This window comes from Homo sapiens, chromosome 10 (genome assembly GCF_000001405.40).
Source record: "Homo sapiens chromosome 10, GRCh38.p14 Primary Assembly".
Classification (NCBI taxonomy): domain Eukaryota; kingdom Metazoa; phylum Chordata; class Mammalia; order Primates; family Hominidae; genus Homo; species Homo sapiens.
The window spans coordinates 46,531,752-46,558,462 of record NC_000010.11 but is presented as its reverse complement, the minus strand read 5'-3'; the positions used below and the strand labels follow the sequence as shown (position 1 = coordinate 46,558,462).

The 26,711-nt window shown below is 52.6% G+C and overlaps 1 protein-coding gene and 1 long non-coding RNA gene across 38 annotated transcripts, besides 4 other annotated features; one reads left to right on the top strand and one right to left on the bottom strand.

Annotated features, from left to right (window-relative positions):
* Positions 358-1,063: an enhancer, noted in NCBI's record as "H3K27ac-H3K4me1 hESC enhancer chr10:46991512-46992217 (GRCh37/hg19 assembly coordinates)". NCBI's record gives its function as "activates a minimal SCP1, AML or CMV promoter by ChIP-STARR-seq in primed H9 embryonic stem cells {active_cell/tissue: H9 hESC(primed)}" and the evidence as "EXISTENCE:reporter gene assay evidence [ECO:0000049][PMID:30033119]".
* Positions 867-16,727, top strand: GPRIN2 (G protein regulated inducer of neurite outgrowth 2). 37 transcript variants are annotated; one of them, NM_001385298.1, is made up of 6 exons: positions 1,330-1,370; positions 2,934-3,088; positions 3,768-3,878; positions 6,303-6,501; positions 6,888-7,047; positions 7,721-16,727. In NM_001385298.1, exons 5-6 carry the CDS (start codon positions 6,982-6,984, stop codon positions 9,101-9,103), a joined length of 1,449 nt encoding a protein of 482 aa, NP_001372227.1. In that variant the 5' UTR covers positions 1,330-1,370; positions 2,934-3,088; positions 3,768-3,878; positions 6,303-6,501; positions 6,888-6,981; the 3' UTR covers positions 9,104-16,727. The 37 variants fall into 37 exon arrangements, with proteins under 37 accessions (NP_001372216.1, NP_001372227.1, NP_001372226.1 ...); NM_001385297.1 differs by having other exon boundaries at positions 1,330-1,406; positions 6,303-6,426; positions 6,926-7,047; NM_001385299.1 differs by having other exon boundaries at positions 1,330-1,406.
* Positions 1,769-2,474: an enhancer, noted in NCBI's record as "H3K4me1 hESC enhancer chr10:46992923-46993628 (GRCh37/hg19 assembly coordinates)". NCBI's record gives its function as "activates a minimal SCP1, AML or CMV promoter by ChIP-STARR-seq in primed H9 embryonic stem cells {active_cell/tissue: H9 hESC(primed)}" and the evidence as "EXISTENCE:reporter gene assay evidence [ECO:0000049][PMID:30033119]".
* Positions 15,819-21,194, bottom strand: LOC124902419 (uncharacterized). Its single transcript, XR_007062138.1, has 2 exons — positions 17,376-21,194; positions 15,819-17,111 (listed from the first exon to the last, which is right to left on the bottom strand). It is a non-coding gene; the product is annotated as an uncharacterized LOC124902419 (long non-coding RNA).
* Positions 16,910-17,540: an enhancer, noted in NCBI's record as "H3K27ac-H3K4me1 hESC enhancer chr10:47008064-47008694 (GRCh37/hg19 assembly coordinates)". NCBI's record gives its function as "activates a minimal SCP1, AML or CMV promoter by ChIP-STARR-seq in primed H9 embryonic stem cells {active_cell/tissue: H9 hESC(primed)}" and the evidence as "EXISTENCE:reporter gene assay evidence [ECO:0000049][PMID:30033119]".
* Positions 22,141-22,642: an enhancer, noted in NCBI's record as "H3K4me1 hESC enhancer chr10:47013295-47013796 (GRCh37/hg19 assembly coordinates)". NCBI's record gives its function as "activates a minimal SCP1, AML or CMV promoter by ChIP-STARR-seq in primed H9 embryonic stem cells {active_cell/tissue: H9 hESC(primed)}" and the evidence as "EXISTENCE:reporter gene assay evidence [ECO:0000049][PMID:30033119]".

The window sequence follows — 26,711 nt, the reverse complement described above, 5'->3', positions numbered from 1 at the left end:
GCAGACATCTCCTGACACCCAGCCCCAAGAAGGCTTCCTTGAAACACACAGTGAGGTTCTTGGTTCTTGAGATGTCCTGGGAGCTGAGAGCCCCAGGTTTGGGGCCTGGATCTGGCACCAACTCTCAGTGTAACCACAAGCAGTCCATCCCTTCTTGGGGCTCAGCTGACTTCACTAAAGAGGGAATATGAGTAAGATGCCTAAGATGTGGAAGCAGAGGTCCTAATTCCTGGACAGGGGCAGAAGTGGGTAGTGGCCTCGGCAAACAAATCCCCTATTTGCCTCCTTTAAGCAGGATCCCCCTACCAGGCAGTGTGTGATGGTGAGGCCCAAGCCTGGGGTCTGACGTCGACACCCCTGTGGGCATTTGGCCAAAGGCAGCCATCTGCCAGAATCTGAGAGCTGCTCTCAGACCTCGCTGGAGAGGGCTACCTGGGGCAGTCTGAGTCTCTCTGGGCAGACTGAGGTCCTTTGCTACCCAAACGGGGAGAATTAGAGATACTGTTGGCTCCTGGGCACTGGAAGGGAGGAACGCAGGCCTCTCAGCACAGGGCTGGGCCAACAAGTTGGGGGTCCCGGCACAGGGGACAACGGAGAAGTGCCAACATTGGGACCCAATTATGTGATACTGGGGCCCAGAGATAGTACAGGTGCCTCATACCACGTGGCCCTGGGTGGACAGCAGGAATCTATTGCGAGTGGCGGGAGGCCGGGGCTGCCTGTCCTGCGCCCTGAAGCTGGCCAGCGGTTGTGGAAACTGGGGGATATTGAGGGAACCGTAGGCCCAGGTCCTCAGCCTCATAGTGTGGAACCTGGCGATCCCAGGGCCTGGGCTGGCCCCCGGCGTCACGGGACCGGGAAGGCGCTGTGGTGCTGCGGGGAATTGCGGAGAAGAAGGCGGGCTCCAGTGGAGGTGGCTCATCCCCGCACGGTCACTGCCCTCGCCCGCTGTTGGGGTCCGCGGCTGGGAGACTGAAGGCCTCAAGTCGGGCTGGGTAGGGGCACGTGGGCAGGGAAAGGGGTGGTAGATTACCAGTCTTCAGGGGCGGGGCTGGAGATGCAACCCTAGGGAAGGAGTCTACCAGGCTGGGCTCTTGAGGGGCAATGGAGGGCTCCGGGGGCCAGGCCAGGCCAGGATCATGGAGTTCAAAGGACTGGAGTGAGGTTTGGGGTCCATGAGAGTGGAGCTCAGAGGATGGGACGGTGGGTCCAGGATTTGGGACCTGGGGCTGGAAAGTCCGAGGCTAGTGGAGACCAGGCCTGGTATCCCAGACGAAAGGGCCCTATAGGAAACGGGGTCTCGTGGGCGGGATCTGGAGCCAGAGAATTGTGAGAGGCGGAGCTAGGATGGAGAAGGCGAGAGGAAAGGGGTAGCCGCCGGCGCGGAGACCTCAATGCGGGGCGTGGTGCGGAGGGGGAACTGGAGCGAGGGGCACTGGAGCGAGGGGGTGGGGCTACGAGGAGGTGGACTTGAGGGGCTGGGTCTGGGGCCGGAGAATCGTGGGGAGCTGCGCCTATACACCCGGGACGGTGGGGTTGCGTCGGGGAAGTGGGAGTCTTGGGGGTTCGCTGGGCAGCCTGGAGAACAGGCGGTCGTGGTGCGGGCGGGGCCGAAAAGACCGAGGACAGTGGGGACCCGGCCTGAGGAGGGGTCGGGAAGGAGGGGTGGGGGCGCGCGGACGCAGATCCCGGGCCGCGGCGGGGCGGTGGCAGGCTCCAGAGTGGCACGGGCCCAGGTGAGCGAGGTCTCCGCCCGCCGCCCCTCCCGCCGCCCCGGTGCCAGCTGCCCCGCTGGCCCCTCCCTGTACCCGGCGCTTGCTCCGCGGGCCGGGCCGACGGCGGCGGGCGGCGTCTCGCGCCCAGGCCAGGTCGGCTCTGGCTCCATCTTGGGCCGCGGCACCTGGCACCTGTGGCGGCCGCAGGAGCAGCGCTTCCCCCGCCTGCGCGGCCCCGGCGGGCGAGAGGGTGAGAGGCTGGCTCCGCGCGCTCCCGTTGGGGCGGGGGGCGTGGTGGGCGGCACCTCCCCCTTGCTGAGCCTCAGAACCCACTCCTTCCCGCTGCCTGCGCTCAGACCCCCGGCATCCTGGCCCCTGCCCAGCGCCCAGAGCCCCCGGTGGCCGCATCGCACTCCCCGCGCTCCGCCTCTCATTGTCCTGTCCTGTCCCCTCTTCTACGTCTCCTCTGCCCATCCTCCCATTTTCACAAGTCTGTCCGGGACCCTGTCTCCTTCGGCCTCCACCCCTGCTGCCATCGCTCCTCCCTCTCCCCTTCTTCCTTTTCCCCTCCCTCAGCCTACTGCGCCGCCTACCCCGCCCCCAGCCTTGCTGCCCTTTGGCTTCTCCTGTCCCGCATCATTACCCCGGCCCACAGCCCCATTTGCCTGCAGTCGCTGCCTTTGCTCCTGAGAAGGTCTGTAGCCTCGTTTCGGGCCCGTATTGAGCCCCCTTCTCCCTAAGTCCGGGTGGGCTTTGTGCAGGAGGGGCGGGAGGGGAGCTATTCTGGGCGAGGCTGCGTGGTGCGGTGCTTTCAGGCCTTTGGCCCCGCAGCAGGGGCGGCCTGTGCTTGGCGTGCAGAGTGCAGCTGGGTAGACGCTGTTACTGCATACGGGCCTGTGTGTCCCAGGCTGGGGCATGAGTGCTTGTGAGCGTGCAGATAGGGACACACCGGCCGCCTAGGCTGCTTCTAGGCCGGGGCACCCTCTCCACCTAGGTGCCCCCCAGGGATTGTGGGCAAATCCTCCCCAGGGGAGGAAGCTCAGGGGCTGTTGGGCGCCTAGGCCTCTTCCTGGTGAGCAGAGCCTCATCCATGGGGCCACTGACCCCACAGTTACCCCAGAACCCTTTCCTGGCACAGCTTGTGACCCGGGGCATGTAGCCCTTAAGGCACGTTCATTGTGAAGGGCAGGTTTTGTCTCCTCCAAACCCTCCCTTTAGGAATGCTGCCTGCTGCTTTGCCCAGAGTTGGCCCTGAGTGTTCCTATCAGGCCCCGTTCACTCTGGGGTGGATTAAACCACCTCCTGGAGGGTGCTGTATCCCCACTGTGCAATGGGGGTTTGTGCTGTGTGCATTCCTGCCTGGTCCTTGAGAGGTAAGGTCCATATTTTAACATAGAACCAGTTTTCCTGCCTGATCATATAGGTTTGCTTTTCCTGTTTTGGTTTTGCCGGACACATAAGTCATCATCCAAATGCTTGCCACTTAACTAGAGGGGACTTGGGCCAGGCGCTGTGGCTCATGCCTGTAATCCCAGCACTTTGGGAGGCCGAGGCAGGTGGATCACCTAAGGTCAGGAGTTCGAGACCAGCCTGGCCAACATGGCGAAAACCCCATCTCTACTAAAAATACAAAAATTAGCTGGGCGCCGAGGTGCACGCCTGTAATCCCAGCTGCCGGGAGACTAAGACAAGAGAATCACGTGAACCCAGGAGGCAGAGGTTGCAGTGAGCCGAGACTGAGCCATTGTACTCGAGCCTGGGAGACAGAGCGAGACTCTGTCTCACAAACAAACGAACGAACAAAACCAAGAGGGGACTTAGATGGATGCCACAGTGTTGTCTGAGATGGAGCCCACTTGTGGTGGTCTTGGTAGTCCCCTGGGCATATCCCAAAGGCCTGGGCTCCTCTGCTGTGGCAGCATGGCGGGAGCTGGACTCTGTACGTTGACTCAAAGGTCTCTATGTTTGGGCTAGTCTGGAAGTGTCTGAGAACTGGGGGCTTTTACTCAAAATGACATTGGTTGATTGCTACATAGGTGGTTGATCTTCCAGTTGCTGACAGGTGGAACCTGAGGCAGCAGGACAGCCTGGCATTGGCCACGGGACATCGGCCACAACCATAGCAACTTCGGCATCAAATGGGGCAGGAGAGAGAACATTAAGGTATCGTTCAAAGAATACTAGAGGTCTTGGATACTTCTGTATGCCTGTTCTTTATCTTGTCCTAAAAGATCTTCCGAGGGTCCCTTTAGGGCAAAACCAGAACCTTCTGTGTTGTTATAAAGGCAGGGTGGGTGTGCCATTCTGGGCATTTAAAGTGCAGACTCTAGACTTGTATGCATGCGTAGCCTCCTAGGTTAACATTTAAAATAGGCTCTGGGAAACCTAGTTTGGTGATAGGGAGACTGGGGACACTGATGGTGACCTGGTCCTAGGATGGGATGAAGGTAGCGAGGATGGGAAGCTAGAGGAGGCTAACCTTTGGGGTGTCTTGATGGCTTCTGAAAAGGGCCTCTCTGGCCCCCAGTACTAATACTTGTTATACCATGAACTTAAGCTGCTCTTGATGGGAGGGGAAAGAGAAGATTATTGTTAACAAACACTATTGCAGACAGTGCACATGCTGTCACATTTGGTCTTCACAACAACCCTGCAGGGTGGGGATTTATTTCTGTTTTGCAGATTGAAGAAACTGAGGCTCAAAGAAGTTAGGGGTCCACCTGTGAGTACATGCACAGGAAGGGGAAGAGCCCCCATTGGAAGCAGAGCCCTGCCCCTTCCTCCTCACCCCTGGCTCCCTGGGAGGCCCCTCCTCTGGCCCAGTCCACAGCACTGTGACAGGCAGTGTGGAAGCCTCTTTCCCCCAGTACTCCCCTCAGAGCCCTTCCTTCCTTCTGAGCTGGGAAGGCCAGGTTGTAGTTAGCCAGGCCAATCCATTGGGGTTCTGAATTAGCCACTTTCAGCTGTGTGTTCTTTGACATTTCTGAGCTGCTCCAGGCCTCAGTTTTGTCACCTGCCACTTGTGGAGGGGGAATGGGGAAGGGAACCAATAGATACATAGCCCACACGGGGGTCTCTGGGTGATGACTAGCCCTGGGTGCTGGGCAGCCCTCTGGTGAGACAGGCACAGTGGGATGCTCATTGCTCATGGCTTCTCAGTGGGTCTTGGTGGGGGTCTGAGGACCTCATTCCACCTGTCTCCTCAGGGGCCAGAGGCTGCTGGCCTGGCTGTTTATGGCCCCCCTCCCTGGGAGGGTGGTGGGGTTTGGCCAGAGGCTGTGTGGATGTCCAGATGGGGCCTCCCTGGGGTCTTGGACCTGCAACTGAGTGGTTGTCTCCCTGCCAGGGGCTGGCAGTGACCACAGCTGTCCCAGTCAGGAGGAACACCTCCTGCCCTCCTCATTCTTGCAGCCTCAGGAGCTGCTAAGAAGCATGTTGGGCAGGTGGAGATCCACTCAGTGACTTGTTCCATGGCATGTCATGAGCACGATTGGCAGGGCCAGGCCAGATCAGTAAAAAGGGTGAGAGCTGCGAGGCATAGGCCTGCTCAGTGCTCGAAGGGGAGAGGAGCTCAGCTGCCCCACAGGTGTGTGCCCTTGGGGGTCACTGAGCCTCTCTGAGCTTATGGAATTCTCCTGTCTGTAGAATGGAGATAATGACTGTCTCAAGAGGTTGCTTGCACAGTTATATGAGACAATGTATGCAAAGGATGTGGCACGTGTCTGGCCCTTGGCGAGTGATCAGGCCCTGGCAGCTGTTATTATCATCGCTGTTACGGGCTTTATTGCCCTCCTTTGTTTGTATGTCCATCTTAGAGCTCATTGAGGGCAGGGTCTGGGTCAGATTTCTCTCTTGGCTACTCCTCCTCTTCCTGATCCTCCCAGGGACAAGTCTGGCTTCAGCCCCGTGAAGCAGCTGGGATGGGACATCCTTACCAGGCCGGGGCTGTGTTCAGAGCTGCACAGTCCTGTACGGTAGCCATTAGCCTCATGTGGCCAGTTAGATTCAAATAAAACTTAAACATTCAGTGTCTCAGTTGCAGTAGCCCCCTGCTGAGTGCTTGGTACCCACATGCCATTGGTGCCTACCTATTGGACAGCACAGGGTAGAATCTTTCCATCATCGCAGGAAGTTGTGCAGAGCTGGAGTCTCAGGGACTACAGCACCAGTATCATCCTCACTGTGGCTCAGCAGCCACCAGCCATCTCCTGAGTGCTGGGCTGCCAGGACATTTGTAATTACACAGAAACCGAGTCCCACAGCCCTTCCCGAATTTCCTCTCGGGTAGCCTTGCTCACCTGGTCGGGGAGGTTGTTGCCTGGAAGTCTTTATCAGCCTAGGCTGGGAGGGCAGGGCTGGGATTGCCCAAATGCAGCTGCTGCCTCCTGTCCCCACCCTGTTTCTCCCACCTCTCCTGCCTGGCAAGGAGTCCCAGAGTGATCTCCCTAATTCACTGCTGTGGCCAGGGCCGAGGTGGCCCAGACACTTTGACCCCACTGCTCCCCTCATATGCTCTGGACACATGGCCTCTTTCCTCCTGCCCACTCCGCTCTCCACCTGAACACCTTCTTGCTTCTCTCACTCCAGGCCTGACTTACGTGGCTGGTCCTCCAGGAAGCCTTTTCTCATCTCTCACCCTCCGTGAGCTCTCCTGCCTTGGTGGTGCCCTCCCTCAGACCCCATTTTTGGCACTCAGTGCCCTCCTCTGTGGGTGTGTTCTTGTATTTGCTTGTTCTCTTGGTCAGGCACACAGCAGATAATCCTCTGAGTGCCGACGACACATCAGGTCAGTGCTGGGTGTTGGACAGCCAGAGGGGAGCAGGCCACAGGCCAGGCTTTGCCAACTTCAGGCCTGTGGGGAGGCTGACAGTTGGCCAAACTGTTCCATGCAGGCCCAATGCTCAGTCAGGGATGAAGGCTGCCTGGCTGGAGGGTCGGGAAAGGGGCCCCAGGAAGAGATGCAGAAGTGGAAAGGGCCAGAACTGGCTCTAGGCTGCAGCTGCCAGGTCCAGGGTGGTCTTTATGGCTGGGGGAAGTGACAGCGATGGTACGGAGGGTGGGGGACAATGAGGATGCAGGTACACTGGGCAAGAGGGGATTAAATGTCAGGCAGGATAGGTCTGATTGATGGTACTGGGTGGGCATCTTATCTCACTGCTGCACCGTCCCCAGGGGTACAGAAAGGTCTGAATGAATCCCATGTTCCCTAGCCCTACAGCTGGGCACGCAGTAGGGGCTCAGGAGATGCTGTGGAATCAATGACCAGATGCTGAATGAGTCCCTCATGGAAAAAGCTGATGCATGGGGCCTCTCCTTGCCCCTGGAGCTAGAGGTAGGAGTCAGGGAACCCCAGAGACATGCCAGCTCAGCAAGGCTAGGCCAAGGAGGATGGGGGTGGTTGTGGAAGCCCAGGGTGATTCTCAGTGTCCTCTGGTCATTGCTCCCTCGTCCTGTGAACTTTCTCTGAGCTCCCACTCTGTACCAAGGAGACCCTGTCCACAGTGAGTTGGATACTGCCAGTCCCAGGAGGAAGTAGCCCAGTATTGGCCTGTCCAGCTGTGCCCGTTAAGAGGCCATAGTGCTTCCGTGCTGGTTGACCAAGAGCTGTTATCCCACAGCCCCACCCCCTAGGGCTGCAGTTTCACCCCCAAAGCCCCAGCAGATTTGGCTCTCTCCCTTCCCCTCCCACACAAACCAGCCAGTAAAGAGTTGAGAGCTGATAGAGTGGCGGCCTCCAGGACCCCACCCTAGGGCAGATTCTAACTGCTTGAGACTGATGATGAGATAATTTGCAGTGTCATCCTTGTGTCTAATGTGAGATGACCTTGATTTGAAGTGTCTGGTGTCTTGTCACTCACTGCCTTGCATATGGTTCTGACCAGTCAGGCAGGCTGGGACTGAAGGTGGCTCCCTGGTGAACCTAGCACTGTGGGAGTTCATAGTAGAATCGGCTTAGGTGCTGCCACCCAACTCAACTCCACTCCCTCCCTTTCTCTCTTCTGCAGGCAGCCATGAGCTCCAGCCGCCCCGAGCCGGGTCCCTGGGCACCCCTGAGCCCCCGCCTTCAGCCCCTGTCCCAGAGCTCTTCCAGCCTGCTGGGTGAAGGCCGGGAACAGAGGCCAGAGCTCCGCAAGACTGCCAGCAGCACCGTGTGGCAGGCCCAGCTGGGCGAGGCCAGCACCAGACCCCAGGCCCCGGAGGAAGAGGGGAACCCGCCTGAGAGCATGAAGCCAGCACGGGCCTCTGGCCCCAAGGCGCGACCCAGTGCTGGAGGCCACTGGTGGAGCAGCACTGTGGGCAATGTGTCCACCATGGGCGGCAGTGACCTGTGTCGCCTGCGGGCCCCTAGTGCTGCTGCTATGCAGAGGAGCCATTCAGACCTGGTCCGTAGCACCCAGATGCGGGGACACAGTGGTGCTCGGAAGGCCAGTCTCAGCTGCTCAGCCCTTGGCAGCAGCCCTGTCCACAGGGCTCAGCTGCAGCCAGGTGGTACTTCTGGCCAGGGTGGCCAGGCCCCTGCAGGCCTGGAAAGGGACCTGGCTCCTGAGGATGAGACTTCTAACTCAGCCTGGATGCTGGGGGCGAGTCAGTTGTCAGTGCCACCACTAGACCTGGGGGACACAACTGCCCACAGCAGCAGTGCCCAGGCTGAGCCCAAAGCTGCTGAACAGCTGGCTACCACCACCTGCCATGCTCTGCCCCCAGCTGCTCTACTCTGTGGCATGAGGGAGGTGAGGGCTGGTGGCTGCTGCCATGCCCTACCTGCCACAGGGATCCTGGCCTTTCCCAAACTAGTGGCGTCAGTGAGCGAGTCTGGGCTGCAGGCTCAGCATGGGGTGAAGATCCACTGTAGGTTGTCTGGGGGGCTCCCTGGGCATTCCCATTGCTGTGCCCACCTTTGGGGTCCCGCTGGGTTAGTCCCAGAGCCTGGCTCTAGGACCAAAGATGTGTGGACCATGACCTCAGCCAATGACTTGGCCCCTGCAGAGGCATCCCCGCTGTCAGCCCAGGATGCTGGTGTGCAGGCGGCCCCAGTGGCGGCCTGCAAGGCTGTGGCCACCAGTCCGTCCCTGGAAGCGCCTGCAGCCCTGCATGTGTTCCCAGAGGTAACTCTGGGGTCCAGCCTGGAGGAGGTGCCGTCCCCTGTGCGGGATGTGCGATGGGATGCTGAGGGCATGACATGGGAGGTGTACGGAGCTGCGGTGGACCTGGAGGTGCTCGGTGTGGCCATCCAGAAGCACCTGGAGATGCAGTTTGAGCAGCTGCAGCGGGCGCCCGCCAGCGAGGACAGCCTGTCTGTGGAGGGCCGGAGGGGGCCACTGCGGGCTGTCATGCAGTCCCTGCGGCGCCCCAGCTGCTGCGGCTGCTCCGGCGCGGCCCCCGAGTGAGGAGCTGTGGCCCTTGGAGCTGGCCTGGGCCCACTGACTTAGTCCTAGACCTGGGCCAGGGACGGTGGGGGCTCCGTGCCCCCTGGACCCACCGGCAGCTGGGCACATCTCTCACCTGAATATTGGCTGCCTCCAGACCACAGGACTGCAGCCTGGGGCTTCCGGCCCTACACAGCTGGGCTGTTTTCTTAAGGGCTTGATTTCCAAGGGCCACATCTCTGCACCTTCCGGGCTCTGAACTTTGAGACAGGGCTTTAGCACTGTGCAGAGGGGAGATCCTGAGTTTTCTGTAAAAAATGACCTTTTGTTCACTCCACCCTCAGAACTCTGCCATGTTGCCTCGTCAGACTCTTGGTGGCTTTATTTGAAATCAGTGCTGAGAAATAGTGAATTCTCGACATGAAATGTGAGGCCCCAGTGACAGGGACTGCCCAGGTCTTTAGGGAAGGGGACTGATGTTATCAGAGGCCTCCTGTGTGCCACATACTGTGCTTGTCCTGTCTTCACCTCTTCATCCTGGCAAGCCTTCATTTGGCAAGGCTGTAGCCGATGTGCCCCACGCTGGACAGCTTGAAGAGGTGGGACTGAGATCCAAAGCCAGGGCCAGCTGAGCCGTGGGTGTTGCCCTGTAGCATGTGCCCGGTCCAGTCAGTGCAGTCATGTATGAGGAGAATTTACTGAGCTCATACTCTGTGCTGGGTTCTGTGGATTCTGTGGTGAATGAGACAGAGGCTGCCCCTGCCCTGGCTGAGCTCATGGTGTGGGTTGGGGATGGCAGGGGAGGATGCTGACCATTACGGAGGGCTGCCAGGCTTCCAGGGTCATTGTGTCAGAGGCTGGCCTGAGGAAGGGGAGAATGGGTGGCCACCTGCCCTAATCTCAGTTACAAAGCCTAAAATTGCACTATTTTCACCTCATTCTGTCGGCTGAAGGATTTCTCCCCAGCTGGTGCAGTTTGTGGAAGGAGGGAGGGCAGGAATGGAGGGGGACAGGGCAGGAGTTTGCCCTGGCCCTGGGGTAGGGGCTGTGAGGCTGTGGGGGCTCGCTTGCCCACATGACCTGACCTAGGCTAGGCAGTGGGGGCCAGGGGCCTTGGAGAGACAGAAACATGGGCTTTGGCACAGTCTGACTTCATTGCCCAAAGATTTCTCGAGGCCTGTGAAGAATGGGAGTGGGCTTGTGTTCTTGTCCTGGGTCTTTGTCTTGAAGATCCTAAGATCCCGTGACACAGCCCCCCAATCCACCCGTGTGAGGGACCAGAGGGCTAGTGTGGGGTCATGGCCCACGACCTGGCCTGTTTCTGGAGCCTCTTCTGCACCTAGGAGCCCAGGACCCCCACAGTGGTGGCTTACTTTTCCCCATCCTCAAGGACCTGGTACTCATTGAGGTGGAAATGACTCATGCAACAGTTGGTGAATTTGTAAAGCAGGAGTGGCATTTCAACAGGCCACAAGGACAAAGTGACAAAGGCGTGCGTCAGGTCAGATGCCTCCTGAAGCCCAACGATGGACCATTCTCACCCGTAAACATGCCTTTCCCATATGCATAGGTGCACCCCTTGGGATTCTGGGGCTGTCAGTCCCTTTGTGTATGGTGCCAGGGCAGGCAGCTCACGTTCTGGGGAGTGACACATGGGTATATGCCATCTTCATGCCTGGCTCCCCATGGAGTCTCCAGGAACCCCAGCCTGTTAGGGCCACATGAGAGAGAACAAATGGCTGTGGGTGCATGGGGAGGGACCTTTCACACAGGGCCATAGCTAAGTAGGGTCTTGAGGATGCAGGGGTTAGACAGGTGGGTGGAGAGAGGGCAGGACCTGCCTGGCAGATGGAACAGCCTGGTCAGATACTTGGATGTGCCTGTCCTGCCTGGGCCATAATGAGTTTCTGCAGTGGCGGCTCATTTGGAGCGTTTGTTGGGTTGGGAGGTGACCAGGGGTCCCCATTGTGAAGATCCTGATGTAAATGAGGAAAGGAACTTTAAGGGAACTGTGGAAGGGGTTCTGAGGTGGGACCAGATTTCAGTTTAGAAATATCCATTTGGCTTCCAGTGGAGATGTGCCAGGTGACACCAAGGAGGGGCCTGTTTAGGGGCAATGGAGTGGGCAGCTGGGGGCTGGGTTCATACACGTGCACACACACGCATACACAGGCACACATGTGTGCAATGGATTTGGGGAGGAGGCATTTCAGGATGCTGAGGTTTCCAGTTTGAGCAAGAGGAGGGTGAGGCCACTACCTGGGTCAAGGTGAATGGCATGTTCAGCAGGTGCAGAAAGGGCCACCTGCCACAGGGTTTGGCTGGGACCAGTGAAACCTACTTCATGAAGAGACTTTCTTCTGTGTCACGTGCAGATTCTTATGCATTCACGCTGGCTGGGTGCCACTCTGTGCTACCTCCATGCTGCCCTGGCTTGCCAGGATGGCAGGCCGGGCTGGGCTCAGCCAAGCTCCCACTCACCTCATCGTCACTGAGATGAGTATTTGCAGAGCGGTGCTGAAATCCAACACCTGTGTCTTGGCTGGGGCCCCAGATGATTCTCCTGGCTAAACCACGATCCTTGTCTCCCTAGCCCAGTTGCACAGCTGCTGCTGACAGGTCTACCTGAAGTGACTGCAGCCTCATTTCTGATTGGAACTGGAGACCCCTCCCAACCCCCTTTGCTGTGCCCTCTCCTGGAACAGCCCTGATGCCTGCAGTGGTTTAGGGCCCCAGAGCATGGCCAGCGGTTTAGTTTACAGATCTCCTCCCCTTGGACTCTAGATTTCTGGCCAGACTTTCTGGGTCCCTTTCAGGCCCTGCTCTGGGAGGTGTTGGAGTTCACTGTTGATGTGTTTGTTTGGCTTTGAATTCAAAACAGATACAAATTTGGAGGTGAGAGCTTTGCCAGACCCCAGCAGGGATGGGGCATCGGTCCTGACTGGTCTTGTTTATTTTGTCCTGGTAAATTCTGTTCTTTGGAGCATAAACCCTGGAGTCCTAGAGCCCCTTGCCTCAGCAGGAATCCCCCCTCTGTCTGCTCCAGGGGCTCCCTGCTTCTGCCCACCTGCTCTCCTTCCATGGCATTCAGGACCCCCGACAGCTGAAGCCTCTCTTCATATAGCTTGTCCCCTCTGGGCCTGCCTGTCTTGTGTCCAGGACACAAGACACGCATCCCTTGTCTGGCCCCAGGCTGCCATCACTGTCACAAGAAACTCATAGAGTAGAGCTGGTCTGAGGTCACAGTGCTGGTGGTGGTGGAAAAGCAGGGATGGCCTGTTCCACTGTGATCTTACCTCCTGTGTCACCTGGATTGGGTCTCTGTCCCCTTAGACATGCTAGATCCTAACTTTACAAGGGCTGAAGGGGTCTTCTACACGCAGGTCCCAACACTTTGGGCTGGGGTTGGCCACCGTAGCTTAGTGGGCTAAAGCTGGAGTTTGAATCTGGATATATAGGATCCACACCTATAGCCATGTGATCTTGGGCAAGTTACAAGCCTTGATCATCTTCCTCATCTGTAAGATGGGGATGACAATGGTGCCTCCTTCACATGCTTGGTGTGGAGATTAAATAGAATAACCCAAGTAGTGCCTGGCACTGAGTTAGTGCTCAGCACACAGGCTGGTAGTGTTGGGCACCCCTCTCATAGCCACATTCAGGGGCCACCTCTTACCCTGCCAGCTTGGCTGTGATCACAGCCCACATCCCACTTCCTTAAAAGTCCCTTGTTCAGAGCCTCTTTCCAGGTTCCTCGCCCCACAGCTTTGCACCCTGCCTGGGACTTGGCCCTCTGGCTGGGGCTTCTGAAAATGTAGTTCCCAGAGTGCATTGAGGAGGGCTACCCTAGCCCTCACCACTCATCTTGGGCTGGGTTCCCCAGAAGCTTCTGCTGAGATGAGGATGCTGGAGTTATTAGGGAGGGGAGAGCAAGTTAAGGGAGGGGCAGAAGGCAAGGCAGGGTGTGATTTCAGTCCAAGTCAGACCCTAAAGGGGAGCCCTGGATGCAGTCCCACCTCAGAGTAAGGACTACCCAGGGGTGAAGATGTAGCCTCCAGGCACTTCTGCTCTCTGGCAGGCAGGCTAGGAAGCTCTAGGAGCCCCAGGGTAGGTTTCTGCTGGAGTCGTAGGGCCTATTTTGGGGGAAGTTGTGCACAGAAACCACCAGAGGGAGTCACAGGCATCTGGGGGTGCACCCATTGACATTTGCATCCATGTCATGCCAAGCTTGTAGCCCACAAATGCCCAACCCTTTTCTCCATGCATTGCTCTGTCTCAGTTTTGTTCACGCCAAGCAGCCTTGGTTAGTTAAATGCAGAGCTTGGCATTTGCCCATGTTAAATTCCTTCTCCTTTTTCATTCTGGCCTGGCCTGGTTTTGCCATCTGAAGCTATGACAAGTCCTTTATCAGTTTTCATCCAACTTGTCAGGCAGGGCAGGGCTGGTATGAAGCCCAGGACATATCACTGGGACATCCCATAGGTCTGTGAGATTCCCAGGTCCCTCCAAATCCACACGGTCATCATGGGCAAATTAGTTTAAGTCTGATCTGTTAAGATCCAGATCTCTCACACCAACAGCACACACCCCTTTTTCCCATGGCCATGGAAGGAGGGTAGCATAGCCTGACTCGAGTCCTCGTTCTCAGCAGAACTGGTTCTGTGGTGGCCACTTCCCTTTCTCAACTTTTACCTACTTCTGTTTAATAGGTTGTTCTGCAAGTCTGAGAGCAACAGCAAGCTTAGAAGTGTGGACTCAGCCTGGTACAGTGGCTCATGCCTGTAATCCCAGCACTTTGGGAGGCTGAGGTGGGCTGACTGCTTGAGCTCAGGAGTTCGAAACCAGCTTGGGCAGCATGGAGAAATCCCATCTCTACAAAAAATACAAAAATTAGCTGGGCATGGTGGTGTGCATCTGTAGCCTCAGCTACTCAGGGGGTTGAGGTGGGAAGATGGCTTGAGCCCAGGAGGTGGAGGTTGCAGTGAGCCGAGATAGTGCCACTGTGCTCCAGCCTGGATGACGGAGCCAGACCCTGTTTCAAAAAAAGAAAAAGACAAGAAAGAAGTATGGACTCTACCTTCTTGCCCTTGTGGAGATTGGGAACTGCCTGCCCTTGGCCTCTTTCCTGTCCATCTTGTATTATGAAAGGCTGTTTCTGGCACACCCGGGCTCCTCTGTGTGGTTTCTGGGAAGTGACTGAGGGTCAGGGGAATGGAGCCCCTCTGCAGCCGGCCGCTGGTACCTTCCCTATTGAACCCTTCTTTAGGTTTGCTCACTCTTTTTGATGGGTGTCTTTCCAAAGCTGGCTGGGGACCTCCCTGATTGAGAGACATGGGGCCAGTTCTGTTGCTGTGGCTACACGGGAATAATAAAGCAGAAGAACACCTGAGGAAAGCTGATGTTTACTAAAAAAAAAAACAAGCGAAACCAAAGTGACGTGGGCCCATAGGATTGGGGATGGGTGGTGGGGTCTGACTGCCTTGTCCCAAGAGTTGGGTGAATGCCGCCTTTGCTCACTTGTGCGGTCACTCTCCAGGACTCCTGCCTGGCTTCTCCCACTCCAAGCCCGAGATAGCCCAGCAAGGAGGAAGGTCTGGCCCCAAAATACGAGCTCCCCAAGTGGATATCCTAAAATTCATCTTTCATGGCCCTACTTTATTGGGAGGGAATGTGAAAATTGTGGGAATATGTCCATTGACATCTGGGGCTCAGGGCAGGGGAGTGTGTCTAGTTTTAAGGTGTGCGCTTTTAGCCATGCAGTCATCGCCCAGTCTGTCCTGCCTGGAGCTTTTCATTTCCCTGCAGCTTTCCTGAGAAAAGACAGAGTGTGCTTTCTCTGCATCCTATGAACATGGCCCCAGGACTGCAGCACCTCTGTGTGCACACAGCCAAGGACAGTCGGGGGACCTCTGCTGGTCCTGCACCCGCTGCCCTGGGTGCTCTGTCATCCCCATCCCCCATTTCTCTTTAATCTGTTCTTCTTTTGTGGTTTCATGTTCTCTTTGTTCTGGGTTATTCAGAACCTGTCTGCCTCCCCACTGTCCATTGTACTTGTTCCTGCCTCCTCCTGCTTTGTGCCAAGGATTTACTTGCCTTCGCCTTCTGGCTCCATACAGTAGTCTCTCTTCTTGCGGTCTTGGCCATTCCCCCCACCAGGCCCCCAGCTGTGGCTGTGTCTGGGTCTTGGCATTTGTGATTTACATGGGTCTAGGCCCTTTCTCTCCACCTGTCCTTCCCCTCTTTGGACACAAACCAAAACATCTGAGCATCTCCTTACAGAGGGAGGTCTCCCTGGGGTTGCTGTGCCAAGTTTCCATTGCTTTTGCCCAGAATGAGAAATCAGTTGTCAGTGGCCCTGCTGGGTGAATGGAAGGACTTTGGTCGGGCTGGAAGGGCACCCCATCAGTCCTAACTTTTGGTGGCCCTTGTTGGTGGCTGGCTGGCTAGGCTGCTAGAGAGGTACATCAGGTGGGTGGCACCCATCTGCTGGCTTTAGGCAGGCCATCTCCTCATCCATGTTTTCAGAATCTTCTTGCATGGCTTGTAATTGGGTTGGGGTGTGGCCTGAGCCCCTGTGGGGACACACTGCACTGTCCCACCTGTATGCTTCTCTGCTGTCAGGAACTGGATTCGTGTCCAAGAGCCAAGGCTAGGGACTGGAGGAGGAGATTTCTGTCTTTGACCCCTCCATATTAGTCCATTTTCATGCTGCTATAAAGAACTGCCTGAGACTGGGTAATTTATAAAGGAAAGAGGTTTAATTGACTCACAGTTCCACGTGGCCCGGGGAGCCTCAGGAAACTTACAGGAAGCCTCAGGAAACTTACAATCATGGCAGACAGCGAAGGAGAAGCAAGGCACCTTCTTCACAAGGCAGCAGGAAGGAAAATGAATGCAGAAGGAACTACCAAACACTTATAAAACCATCAGATCTCGTGAGAACTTACTATCACAAGAACAGCATGGGGGAACCGCCCCCACGATTCCATCACCTCCACCTGATCTCTCCCTTGTCACATGGGGATTATAGGGATTACAATTCAAGATGAGATTTTGGGTGGGGACACAGCCAAAGCATATCACCCTCCCAGGCCTGAGCAAGGCCCAAGCAGGGAGCCTCTGTTGGGGCTGGAACCCTGGGAGGGGTAGAATTCTCCCCTCCACTCAGATTTGTTCCCTGTTGCTGCCCACCTGGCCCCTGCCCTGCAGCCTTCTGCCTGGCCTTCTCTCTGTTCACTTCTCATTTTTAGCAGTCAACAGACTGGGAGATGGTGGCCAAGGGTGTCATTTTGTACACAAGCTTTGTGGCTTTTGTAAGCCCAGCCTGCAACTCTTGAGGAAAACTCTTTGGTTTGATTTTTTTTCTCTTCAGAGTTGGGGGTATTCAGGGAGATGGGCAAGGGCTTCTTGTGAAGATTTCAATTCTTGAAGGGGTGGAAGCCTCCTGGGCTGGGGGAAGGGGTGGGGCAGGAACCAGCAGGGGTGTGGACACAGGGGGCTGGCACCTGGGATACCGTAGGACAGCTGGGCAGGAAGTCGGATGCTGCTTTATTGAAATTTTTGATATTTTATCATTTTTTCATTAGTTTTTATTTTAAAACACTGCTTTAAAATAATTAAAATATGATTTATCTTGGTTACCGAATCACTTAGTGTTGCCTTAAATTTTGCGCCTAGTCCCTGCCTGACCTTTCCTCCTCCTCTCCCAGGGCTTTAGGTACTCTTAGTCCCTGTGTCATAGGGACTGGGAGCAGATAGGCCCCTCCGCCCACCCCACCCCTCCCCCACCCCTCGCCCACCCCTCCCCCACCCCTCCGCGTTCCTACTCTAATCTCCTACCCTGATCTGCGGTGCAGGGCGGCGCTGGAGAGGGTGGCTTGCGGCTGATCCCGCGGTCTGGTTTGCGGCTAGGTGTGTGTCCCCGGACTGGCGTGGGTCCCGGGCCAGGCGTGGTCCTGGGCGGCGCGGCCCGTGACAGGACCCGACGCCTCCTGGTGGGCATTTCGCTCCAAGCCGGGACCCTCGGAGCCTGAGGGGATTCGGGAGGGAGGAGTCGCCGTGGGGCGGGGCGGGGCGGGGCGGGGGAGGGCTCCCAAGGCCCCGAGGACAGTCCCACCCTCACCGACAGGACCGTCCCTGCGCATCCCCCACCCTTCTTCATCTTCGGGCGCTCGGGCCAACCTGGACAGCAGGGCGGAAGCTTCCAGAAAGGACAGAGATGGAGAAGGTGGGAAGGGTGGGGCTCAGGCAGGGGACACCACGGCCTTAGGAATGGAAGACAGGCCCCACTTACCTCTTCGACTCCAGATGCAGCTCATCCTCACGAGGGGCTGGATGAAGAGGACTTCCTCTCTTTCCCCCCTAAGCTGTGCCTCTGAGCCTCTGTGCAAATATGGTGGTGCAAACCTTTGGTCTGCCTTCATCATTTTGTTGTTGTTGTTGTTGTTGAGACGGAGTCTTGCAGGCTGGAGTGCAAGTGGCACAATCTCGCTCACTGCAACCTCAGCCTCTGGGTTCAAGCGATTCTCCTGCCTCAGCCTCAGCCTCCCGAGTAGCTAGGACTACAGGTGTGCACCACCAGGCCTGGCTAATTTTTGTATTTTTAGTAGAGATGGAGTTTAACCATGTTGGCCAGGCAGCTCTTGAACTCCTGGCCTCAAGTGATCCACCCTAATAAACTTGCTTTCACTTTACTCTGTTGGCTGGCTCTTGAATTCCTTCCTGGGTGAAGCCAAGAACCGACGTAGCCTCCCAGGCTGAACCTCAGTTTGGGGCTTTACCCCATGACACCCGCAAAGGGCTGGGCTTCCCTTCTTCTTGGGGAGAGGGTCAAGGAAGTGGCTGTATCTTGAACACCCATTCCTCTTTCCTTCCATGCGCACAAGGCCTCTCTGAGCTGCTGTCTTCCTTAGGACACTTTCAGCTACAAGTAAGTTAATTTTGAACTGAAAGTTAGCTAAACAATTATTATAGAATGTTCACCTTCCCACTGAAGAATTTAGGAGGTAACTGGCTTCTGGGTGGGCTGTGTGGCTCAGTGTGGACATGGATTCAGGTTCTTTCCATATTTGTGCTGTGCCATCTTTAGAGCGTAGTGAAGGCTGTCCTTAGCCCCACGATGGCTGCTGCATTTCAACTCTGGAATTCAGTTGCTGGAATTCACACTCCAGTCTGTGTGACTCCAGGGCGGTCATTTTGTTTGTCTTTTCAAAAATGAAAGTAATACGTACTTATGATAAGAATTTAAAACAGTACAGACCTCGGCCTTTTGTTTTATTCATGATAGGAATTTCAAATACTGTGTAAACTGAAGGTCTGATCCTCGCCCTTGTCTGGAATTCCCGCAGATTACCACTGAAGATGTTAATAATTTCCATGGGCCTTCCACAAACTTCCTTGGTAATCACAAGCTCAGACCTCTGAATATTCCATACAAGTGAGATCCCACTTAGATACTATTCTGTATTAATTCTTTAAGATAGGCCAGGCATGGTGGCTCATGCGTGTAATTCCAGCACTTTGGGAGGCTGAGGTGGGAGGATCACCTGAGGTCAAGAGTTCCAGACTAGCCAGGCCAACATGGTGAAATCCTGTCGCTACTAAAGATACAAAAATTAGCTGGGCGTGGTGGCGGGTGCCTGTAATCCCAGCTACAGTCAGGAGAATCGCTTGAACCCAGGAGGTGGTGGTTGCAATGAGCTGAGATTGTGCCGCTGCACTCCAGCCTGGGCAACAGAGCGAGACTCTGCCAAAAAAAGAAAAAAAAAATTAAGATATGTCTTGTAGATAATACTGCCACATATAACAATATTTTCTTTATTTTCTTCCTGGGCATATTGTATGGCATAGTATACAAGTGCCTTTTAAAATTAAACCAGACTTCTTTTTCTGGACTTTATGTTACACCTCACATTTTTTTTAACTTAATAGATTTATTTCTTAGATGAGATTTAATTAAGAGAAAAAGTATGCAGAAAATACAGAGTTCCCCTACACTTTCTCACTCTCATACACTTTCTCCTATTATGAGCTTGCATAGTGTACAACATGGTACATTTGTTACAATTAATGCACCAATATTGATGCATTACTGTTTCCTAAAGTTCATGGTTTAAAGTTTACTCTTTGTGTTGGACACTTCTCTGGATTTTGAAAATCCATGTGGTGTATCTCCCACTCCAGTAGCATACAGAATAGTTGGACCACCTAAAAATCCCCTGTGCTCCGTCCATTCACCCCTCTTACCTTCCCCAGGACTCCTGGCAACCACTGATCTTTTTACTGTCTCTATAGTTTTCCTGAATGTCACAGAGTTGGCTTCATGTAGCATGTAGCCTTTTCAGACAGGCTTCTTTCACCTAGCAATATGGATTTAAGCTTCCTCCATGTATTTTCATAGCTTGAGAACTCATTTCTTTTTAGTGCTGAAAAATGTTCTGTTGTCTGGGCATACTGCCATTTATTCATCTACCAAAGGGCATCTTGGTTGCTTTCAGGTTTTGACTATTATGAATAAAACTACTATAAATATTCATGTGCAGGTTTTGATGTGGACATATGTTTACTTCAGTTGGTTAAATACGCAGGGCAACATTGCTGTAAGACTATGTTTAGCTTCATAAGAAACTGCCAAACTATCTCTGTACAATTTCGTATTCCTACTAGCAATGAATGAGAGTTCCTTTTTCTCATATAAAAATAAATATCCTTGTATGTATAGTTTTATGTTCAGGTGTGAGTATATCTGTAGGATAAATTTTTCATCAAGTGGTACATGTAAAATATCTACCGGTATTGGCAAATTGCTCCCCAGAAAGATTGCACCAATAATACATGAAAACGCATATTTTCTCATACCCACGCCAATATTTGATTGTTAATCGAACTTTAATATTTTGGCTAATTTGATAAGTGAAGGAACAATGTCTTCCTAGTTATTGTGATTTGCAATCTGTTCCCTGTGAGTGAGGTTGTGGTCTGCCGGACTGCGTGAGTGAGAATTCCTGTTCTGGCACTCTCAAGCTGTGTGATGCTGGGAAAGTTGCTGAACCTCCCTGGACCTCAGTTTCTTCATCTATAGAATGAGGATGGTAATGGGTCTTTACCTTATTAATTGGATTGGAGGATTTAATGGCATCATTCATGTAAAGTGCCAGCACAGTTCCTGGCTCAAAATAAGGGCCAAGTAAATGTAAGCTATTATTATTCTCCAATATGTTCATAAGCACTTGAATTTCTTCATTTCTGATCTGCCTATGTTCATATCAATTTCCCAGGATTTTTTCTTATTGATTGGTTAGAGCTCTTTGTATATTAATAACATACGTTTATTTTTTTCATATAAGTTACAAGTATTTTTTTATTCCAGTGTTTCATTTGTCTCCTGTTTATCAGATCCTGGCTCCAAACCAGTGCAACATCCTTCTCAGGGACACAGCATTTTAAATCTTACAAAGCCCCTCATTTCCCATCTGTCATTTATGTCTCAGGACATCCACATGAGGCAAGCTGATGTATTTTTCAGTAAAGAAGGAGACTTTATTGACCAGGCAGGGCGAGTGACTTGCCTAAGGGCACAGAAGGAATTAGTGGTTTGTACAGACTGAAATGGAGGGTCCTGGCCCCTAGGTACCACCTCCTCCACTCTTAAAGAAGGGGAGAGGGAATCTGGAGGTGCAGGAAGGAAAAGGTCAAGGTCATCATGACAGACAGCCTCACCCCATCCCCTCTCAGAACCCAAGAGCCTGGGTCCTTTTTTTTCTGTTAAGTTCTGACCATTCTCTCCTGATAAATCAAGGGAAGAATGCGAGTAAAGGGTATGTGTTACTCGGGCGAGACTCCCTGCTTGGAAGGTCTAGGAGGGGAGGTATGTGTGTGAGTGTGTGTGTGTGTGTGTGTGTGTGTGTGTGCATTCTTTCTGTCAAGTTGCCCAGCAGGTGAGCTGAAAGCTGGCTCTCTTAACTTGGGGATGAGCAATAGAGTCAGGTCTCGGTTCGTCATTTTCCAATTTCATCAGCTTTGAAAATATTTTAATAATAAAATCCAAGCATTTGATTTTCCTGACTAGTTGTTTATTCTGATTTATTGGCTATGCATGGTGCCTGAAGCTCCTCCAAACTCCCAAGGGTATCCCTGCATGTCTCAGGATGTCTCTTAACCCAGTGCCATGTGAGGGACAGAACCTAGACCAGGCATTCAGAGCCAGGTACCATTGTGCCTACCCTACTCACTGCTAGATGATGCTAGTGAGGTGCTCACACCTCTCTGGGCTTAGTCCCTCCATTGTAAGGCAAATGGGAGGCCTGCTGCCTCTGCCTTGCTGGGTTGTTGGTATGGCTGAAATGAGGGGATGAAGGTGATGTGGAAAACTTGATAGGAGAGTGGCTGCCGTGTGTCCATTCTGGTCTCCTTTGTCTCATGTCAAGCCCAGGGACTGGTTCTTTTTCTCTCTTCGGGTCTGTGACTTCTGGGAATCCTGCTTGCCTCGGTGCCCCCTGGTGAGGTGGTGCCATATAGGTTGCTTTAGCACATCACCGAGAGGGACTCTCCAAACCCTATGCTAAGTGTTCACCGCCAGAACACTTGCATTTGGGCCAGACCGGGCTAGGGTACCTAACCATAGCTTCCTGGGTTCATTTCACAGGGTGGACAGCAACTGAGAGATGTCCAGGGAAATTTCCCTTTTTAAGAGATAGGGGTTCTGGGGCCCATAAGGGCAGGAAGTATCCCCAACCACAGGCAAGTTCATGAAGCCCATAGGGAGTAGGATGGAGCCAGTTGCCAGGAGCAGGGAAAGGTTCATGTCTTTGCTCCTCCATGTACCCAGGGACTCAGCACCACCTGCAAGTTGATGGAAAGGCAGAATCTCAGCACACTCTGAGCCCCCGAATCAGAGTCTGCATTTTAACAGAACCCCTAGGTGAGGCAGAAGCCCACTACTCCAGTATCATTCATTCATTCACTCACCTAGCAAACATGCCTGAGGCCGACTCTGTGCCGTGCCCTGTGCTGACGAAGACCGGCCAAAAGACCTTGTTCTGGTCTTCCTGAAGCTCAGGTGGAGCAGACACCCCAACGGCCAACAAATGTGAAGATTGAGAACTGTGATGGGAGCCTGAGGTGGGAGCAGCTAAGCTTCCCTGGGGAATTGGGGGTCAGGGAAGTAGTCCCAAGAGGCTGAGTACCTCCTGTGTGGCAGGGGCAGGGTGGCCTTTGCTCCCTAGTATCTTTTTTTTTTTTGAGATGGAGTCTCACTCTGTTGCCCAGGCTGGAGTGTAGTGGCGCTACCTTGGCTCACTGCAACCTCCGCCTCCCAGGTTCAAGTGATTATTCTGCCTCAGCCTCCCAAGTAGCTGAGATTACAGGTGCCCGCCACCATGCGTGGCTAATTTTTGTATTTTTGCTAGAGACGGAGTTTCGCCACATTGGCCAGGCTGGTCTTGAACTCCTAACCTCAGGTGATCCACCCACCTTGTCCTCCCAAAGTGTTGGGATTACAGGCTTGAGTGACTGCGCCCGGCCTGTGCTCCAGTATCAAAACCTGCAAGCACCTACAGAGTGGAGGGTGCTATGGTCAGGGTGGTGCTCAGGTCCAGACTGATGGAGGAACCTGAGCAGGGGCGGGGAGGCATTTCAGGAAGAGGGAGCAGTTGCTCCTGCACAATTTTGTTGCATCGGGCCAAGCAGGAAGGCTGGAGAGGTGAGGAAGAGCCCCGGGGGAAAGCATGGACCATCAGGGAAAAGTCAGACATTGCCCTGTTGCTAAAGGCACTCCTGGATGGGTTTTAGCCCGGGGAGACCTGAATCAAATTAGGGTGCATAGAAAGACCATGATATCCCCTTGATGGGGAGGAGAAAGAGGAGAAACAGGAGGACTAGGAGGGAAAGCCGAGGCGATTTGACTCAGCATGAGTGAGATGTGGGGCAGGGAGAGAGAGAGAGAGAAAGACACAAAGAGAGAGACAAGGAGAGACAAAGGGGAGAGAGAGAGGAGAGAGAGAGAGAGAACAGAGAGACAGAGGAGAGAAAGAGACAGAGGAGAGAGAGAGGGGAACAGAAGAAAGAGAGGCAGAGAGACAGTGAAGAGAGAGAAAGAGAGAGAGATTGAGAAAGAAACTTTGCATCCGCAGGCCTGGGCCCCATGCAGCACTGACAGTGGTAGGCAGCCGACGTGAAGCAGGAGGCACAGGCAGGGAGGATGGACACAGCACCTCCCACAGCTTCTGAGTCCTTGGTGCAGAATGTTTATGGCACTTTTCTTCGTTCTTTCTTAAGACTTATTTAGTACTCATCTTTTCTCCTTTACTCCATTGTGAGCTTCCCAATGATAGGGGCACTGTCTCTCTCATGTCTGTCTTCCCACATTGCTTATATCTAGGATGGGAAATGCAAGGCTCCCAGGCAATGCTTAGTTAAAGGGGCAAAGGGCTGTGGTCTTGTCTTAAGTCTCTGCCAGGCTGAATGCCTAGAACTTGGCCCTCAGGAGGGCCTGAGTCACTGTGGGACACAGACTTTTAAAAGGTGAAACAGCCACCAGCCAGGGGTGAGGAACTAACAGCAGACACATTGCCTGATTTTAAGATGTACTATAAAGCTACAGTAATCAACTAAGTGTGGTATTGGTAAAGAATAGACATAGATCAATGGAACAGAATAGAAAATTCGGAAGCAGATCCACACATGCACAGCCAATTGATTTTCAACAAAGATGCAAAAGCAATTCAATGAAGATAATCTTGCTAACAAATGGTGCTAGAAAAATAGAATACCCATATGCAAACAACTTATTTATTTATTTATTTATTTATTTATTTATTTTGAGGCATGTCTTGTTCTGTTGCCCAGACTGGAGTGCAGTGGCGCAATCTCTGCTCACTGCAACCTCCGCCTCCCAGGTTCAAGCAATTCTCCTGCCTCAGCCTCCCAAGTAGCTGGGATTATAGGCGTGCACCACCACGCCTGGCTAATTTTTGTACTTTTAGTAGAGACAGGATTACACCATGTTGGCCAGGCTGGTCTCAAACTCTTGACCTCAAGTGATCCGCCCACCTTGGCCTCCCAAAGCGCTGAGATTACAGGCATGAGCTACCACGCCCAGCCTATTTATTTGTTTTCTTTGTATAAATTTAGGGGGTCCAAGTGCACTTTTGGTACATGGATGTATTGCATAGTGTGAAGTCTTGGCTTTTAGGGTGGCCATGACCCGAACAGAGTGCACTGAACCCTGTAAGTAACTTCTCATCCCTCGCCCTGCTCCCACCCTGCTGCCCTTCTGAGTCTCCACTGTCTATTATGCCATGCCGTATGTCCATGTACACACATTATTTAGCTCTCACTTGTAAGTGAGGACAAGCAGTATTTGACTTTCTGCTTCTGAGTTATTGCCTTAAGGTAATGGCCTCCAGTTCCATCCATGTTGGTGCAAAAGCCATTATTTCATTCTTTCTTATGGCTGAATAGTATTCCACGGTGTATGTGTACACACACACACACACATCTATAAAATATATTTTCTTTACTTAATCATCTGTCATATACAAAAAAGATTTATCTTGATTCATACTTCGCAGCATATATAAAAATGAACCCAAAATGGATCACAGGCCTAAATGTAAAATTGAAAACTAACAGATACAAACAAAGAAGAAAATGTGTGACCAGGGTTGGGCAAATATCTCTTAGATGTGACACAAAAGCATGGCCTACAAGAGAAAAGTGAATAAACTGGCTATCTTTTTTTTTTTAATTATTATTATACTTTAAGTTCTAGGGTACATGAGCACAATGTGCAGGTTAGTTACATATGTATACATGTGCCATGTTGATGTGCTGCACCCATTAACTCGTCATTTACATTAGATATATCTCCTAATGCTATCCCTCCCCTACCTCATCCCACAACAGGCCCTGGTGTGTGACGTCCCCCTTCCTGTGTCCAAGTGTTCTCATTGTTCAGTTCCCACCTACGAGTGAGAACATGCGATGTTTGGTTTTTTGTCCTTGCGATTGTTTGCTGAGAATGATGGTTTCCAGCTTCATCCATGTCCCTACAAAGGACATGAACTCATCATTTTTTATGGCTGCATAGCATTCCATGGTGTATATGTGCCACATTTTCTTAATCCAGTCTATCATTGTTGGACATTTGGGTTGGTTCCAAGTCTTTGCTATTGTGAGTAGTGCCGCAGTAAACATACGTGTGCATGTGTCTTTATAGCAGCATGATTTCTAATTCTTTGGGTATATAGCCAGTAATGGGATGGCTGGGTCAAATGGTAATTCTAGTTCTAGATCCCTGAGGAATCGCCACACTGTCTTCCACAATGGTTGAACCAGTTTACAGTCCCACCAACAGTGTAAAAGTGTTCCTATTTCTCCACAACCTCTCCAGCACCTGTTGTTTCCTGACTTTTTAATGATCGCCATTCTAACTGGTGTGGTGGTTTTGATTTGCATTTCTCTGATGGCCAGTGATGATGAGCATTTTTTCATGTGTCTGTTGGCTGCATAAATGTCTTTTTTTGAGAAGTGTCTGTTCATATCCTTTGCCCACTTTTTGATGGGGTTGTTTTTTTCTTGTAAATTTGTTTGAGTTCTTTATAGATTCTGGATATTAGCCCTTTGTCAGATGAGTAGATTGCAAAAATTTTCTCCCATTCTGTAGGTTTAAACTGGCTGTCTTTAAAATTAGAAACTTCTAAGCTGGGCACAGTGGCTTACGCCTGTAATTCCAGCACTTGGGGAGGCCAAGGCAGGAGGATTGCTTGAGCCCAGGAGTTTGAGACCAGCCTAGGCAACATAGAGAGACCCTATCCTTATAAAAATAAAAAATAAAAAAATTAACCTTGTGTGGTGGCATGTGCTTGCAGTCCTAGCAACGTAGGTGGCTGAGGCAGGAGGCTGAGGTGGGAGGATCACTTGAGTCCAAGAGGTCAAGGCTGCAGTGAGCCATGATTGTGCCACTGTACTCCAGCCTGGGCAACTGACCAAGACCCTGTCTGAAAAACAAAATCCAAAACTTCTACTATTTGAAAGACACAGTTAAGGAAATGAAAAGACAAACCATAGAGTGGAAGAAAATATTTTCAAAACACATATCTGATAAATAACTTGTATTAAGGATATATGAAGATCTCTCAAAACTTAACAATAAGAAAACAAGCAACCCAATTTAAAAATGGGAAAATATTTGAACAGATGCTTCATCAAAGGAGGTATATGACTGGCCAATAGTTATGTGAAAAAATGCCCAACATGCTTAGTTATCAGGGAAATGCAAATTAAAACCATAAGATCAGACCAATGCATACAAAATGGAGTGGCTTAAAAAAACCCTAACAGTACCAACTGCCTTGAGGGTTCTCAGTACCAACTAAGAACTCTTGTACACTGCTGGTAGGAATACAAGATGGGATCACCACTTTGTCAAACTCTGTGGAAGCTTCTTATAAAGTCAAACAAATATTTACCACATGACTTACCAAACATACTGCTAGGTACTTACCCAAGAGAAGTGAAAAATTATGTTTGCACACAAGCCTATCCACCAATGTTTACAGTAGCTTTATTTATTATCACCGAAACCTGTAAACAACCCCAAAGCCCTTGAACAAACTCTGGTATATTTATG

Excerpts from the sequence above, each read along its gene's own strand:
- GPRIN2 (NM_001385287.1), top strand. The coding sequence starts at position 6,982 with ATGCTGAATGAGTCCCTCATGGAAAAAGCTGATGCATGGGGCCTCTCC. Across the intron at positions 7,048-7,720 it reads CCTTGCCCCTGGAGCTAGAG|GCAGCCATGAGCTCCAGCCG; the intron begins GTAGGAGTCAGG and ends TCTCTTCTGCAG.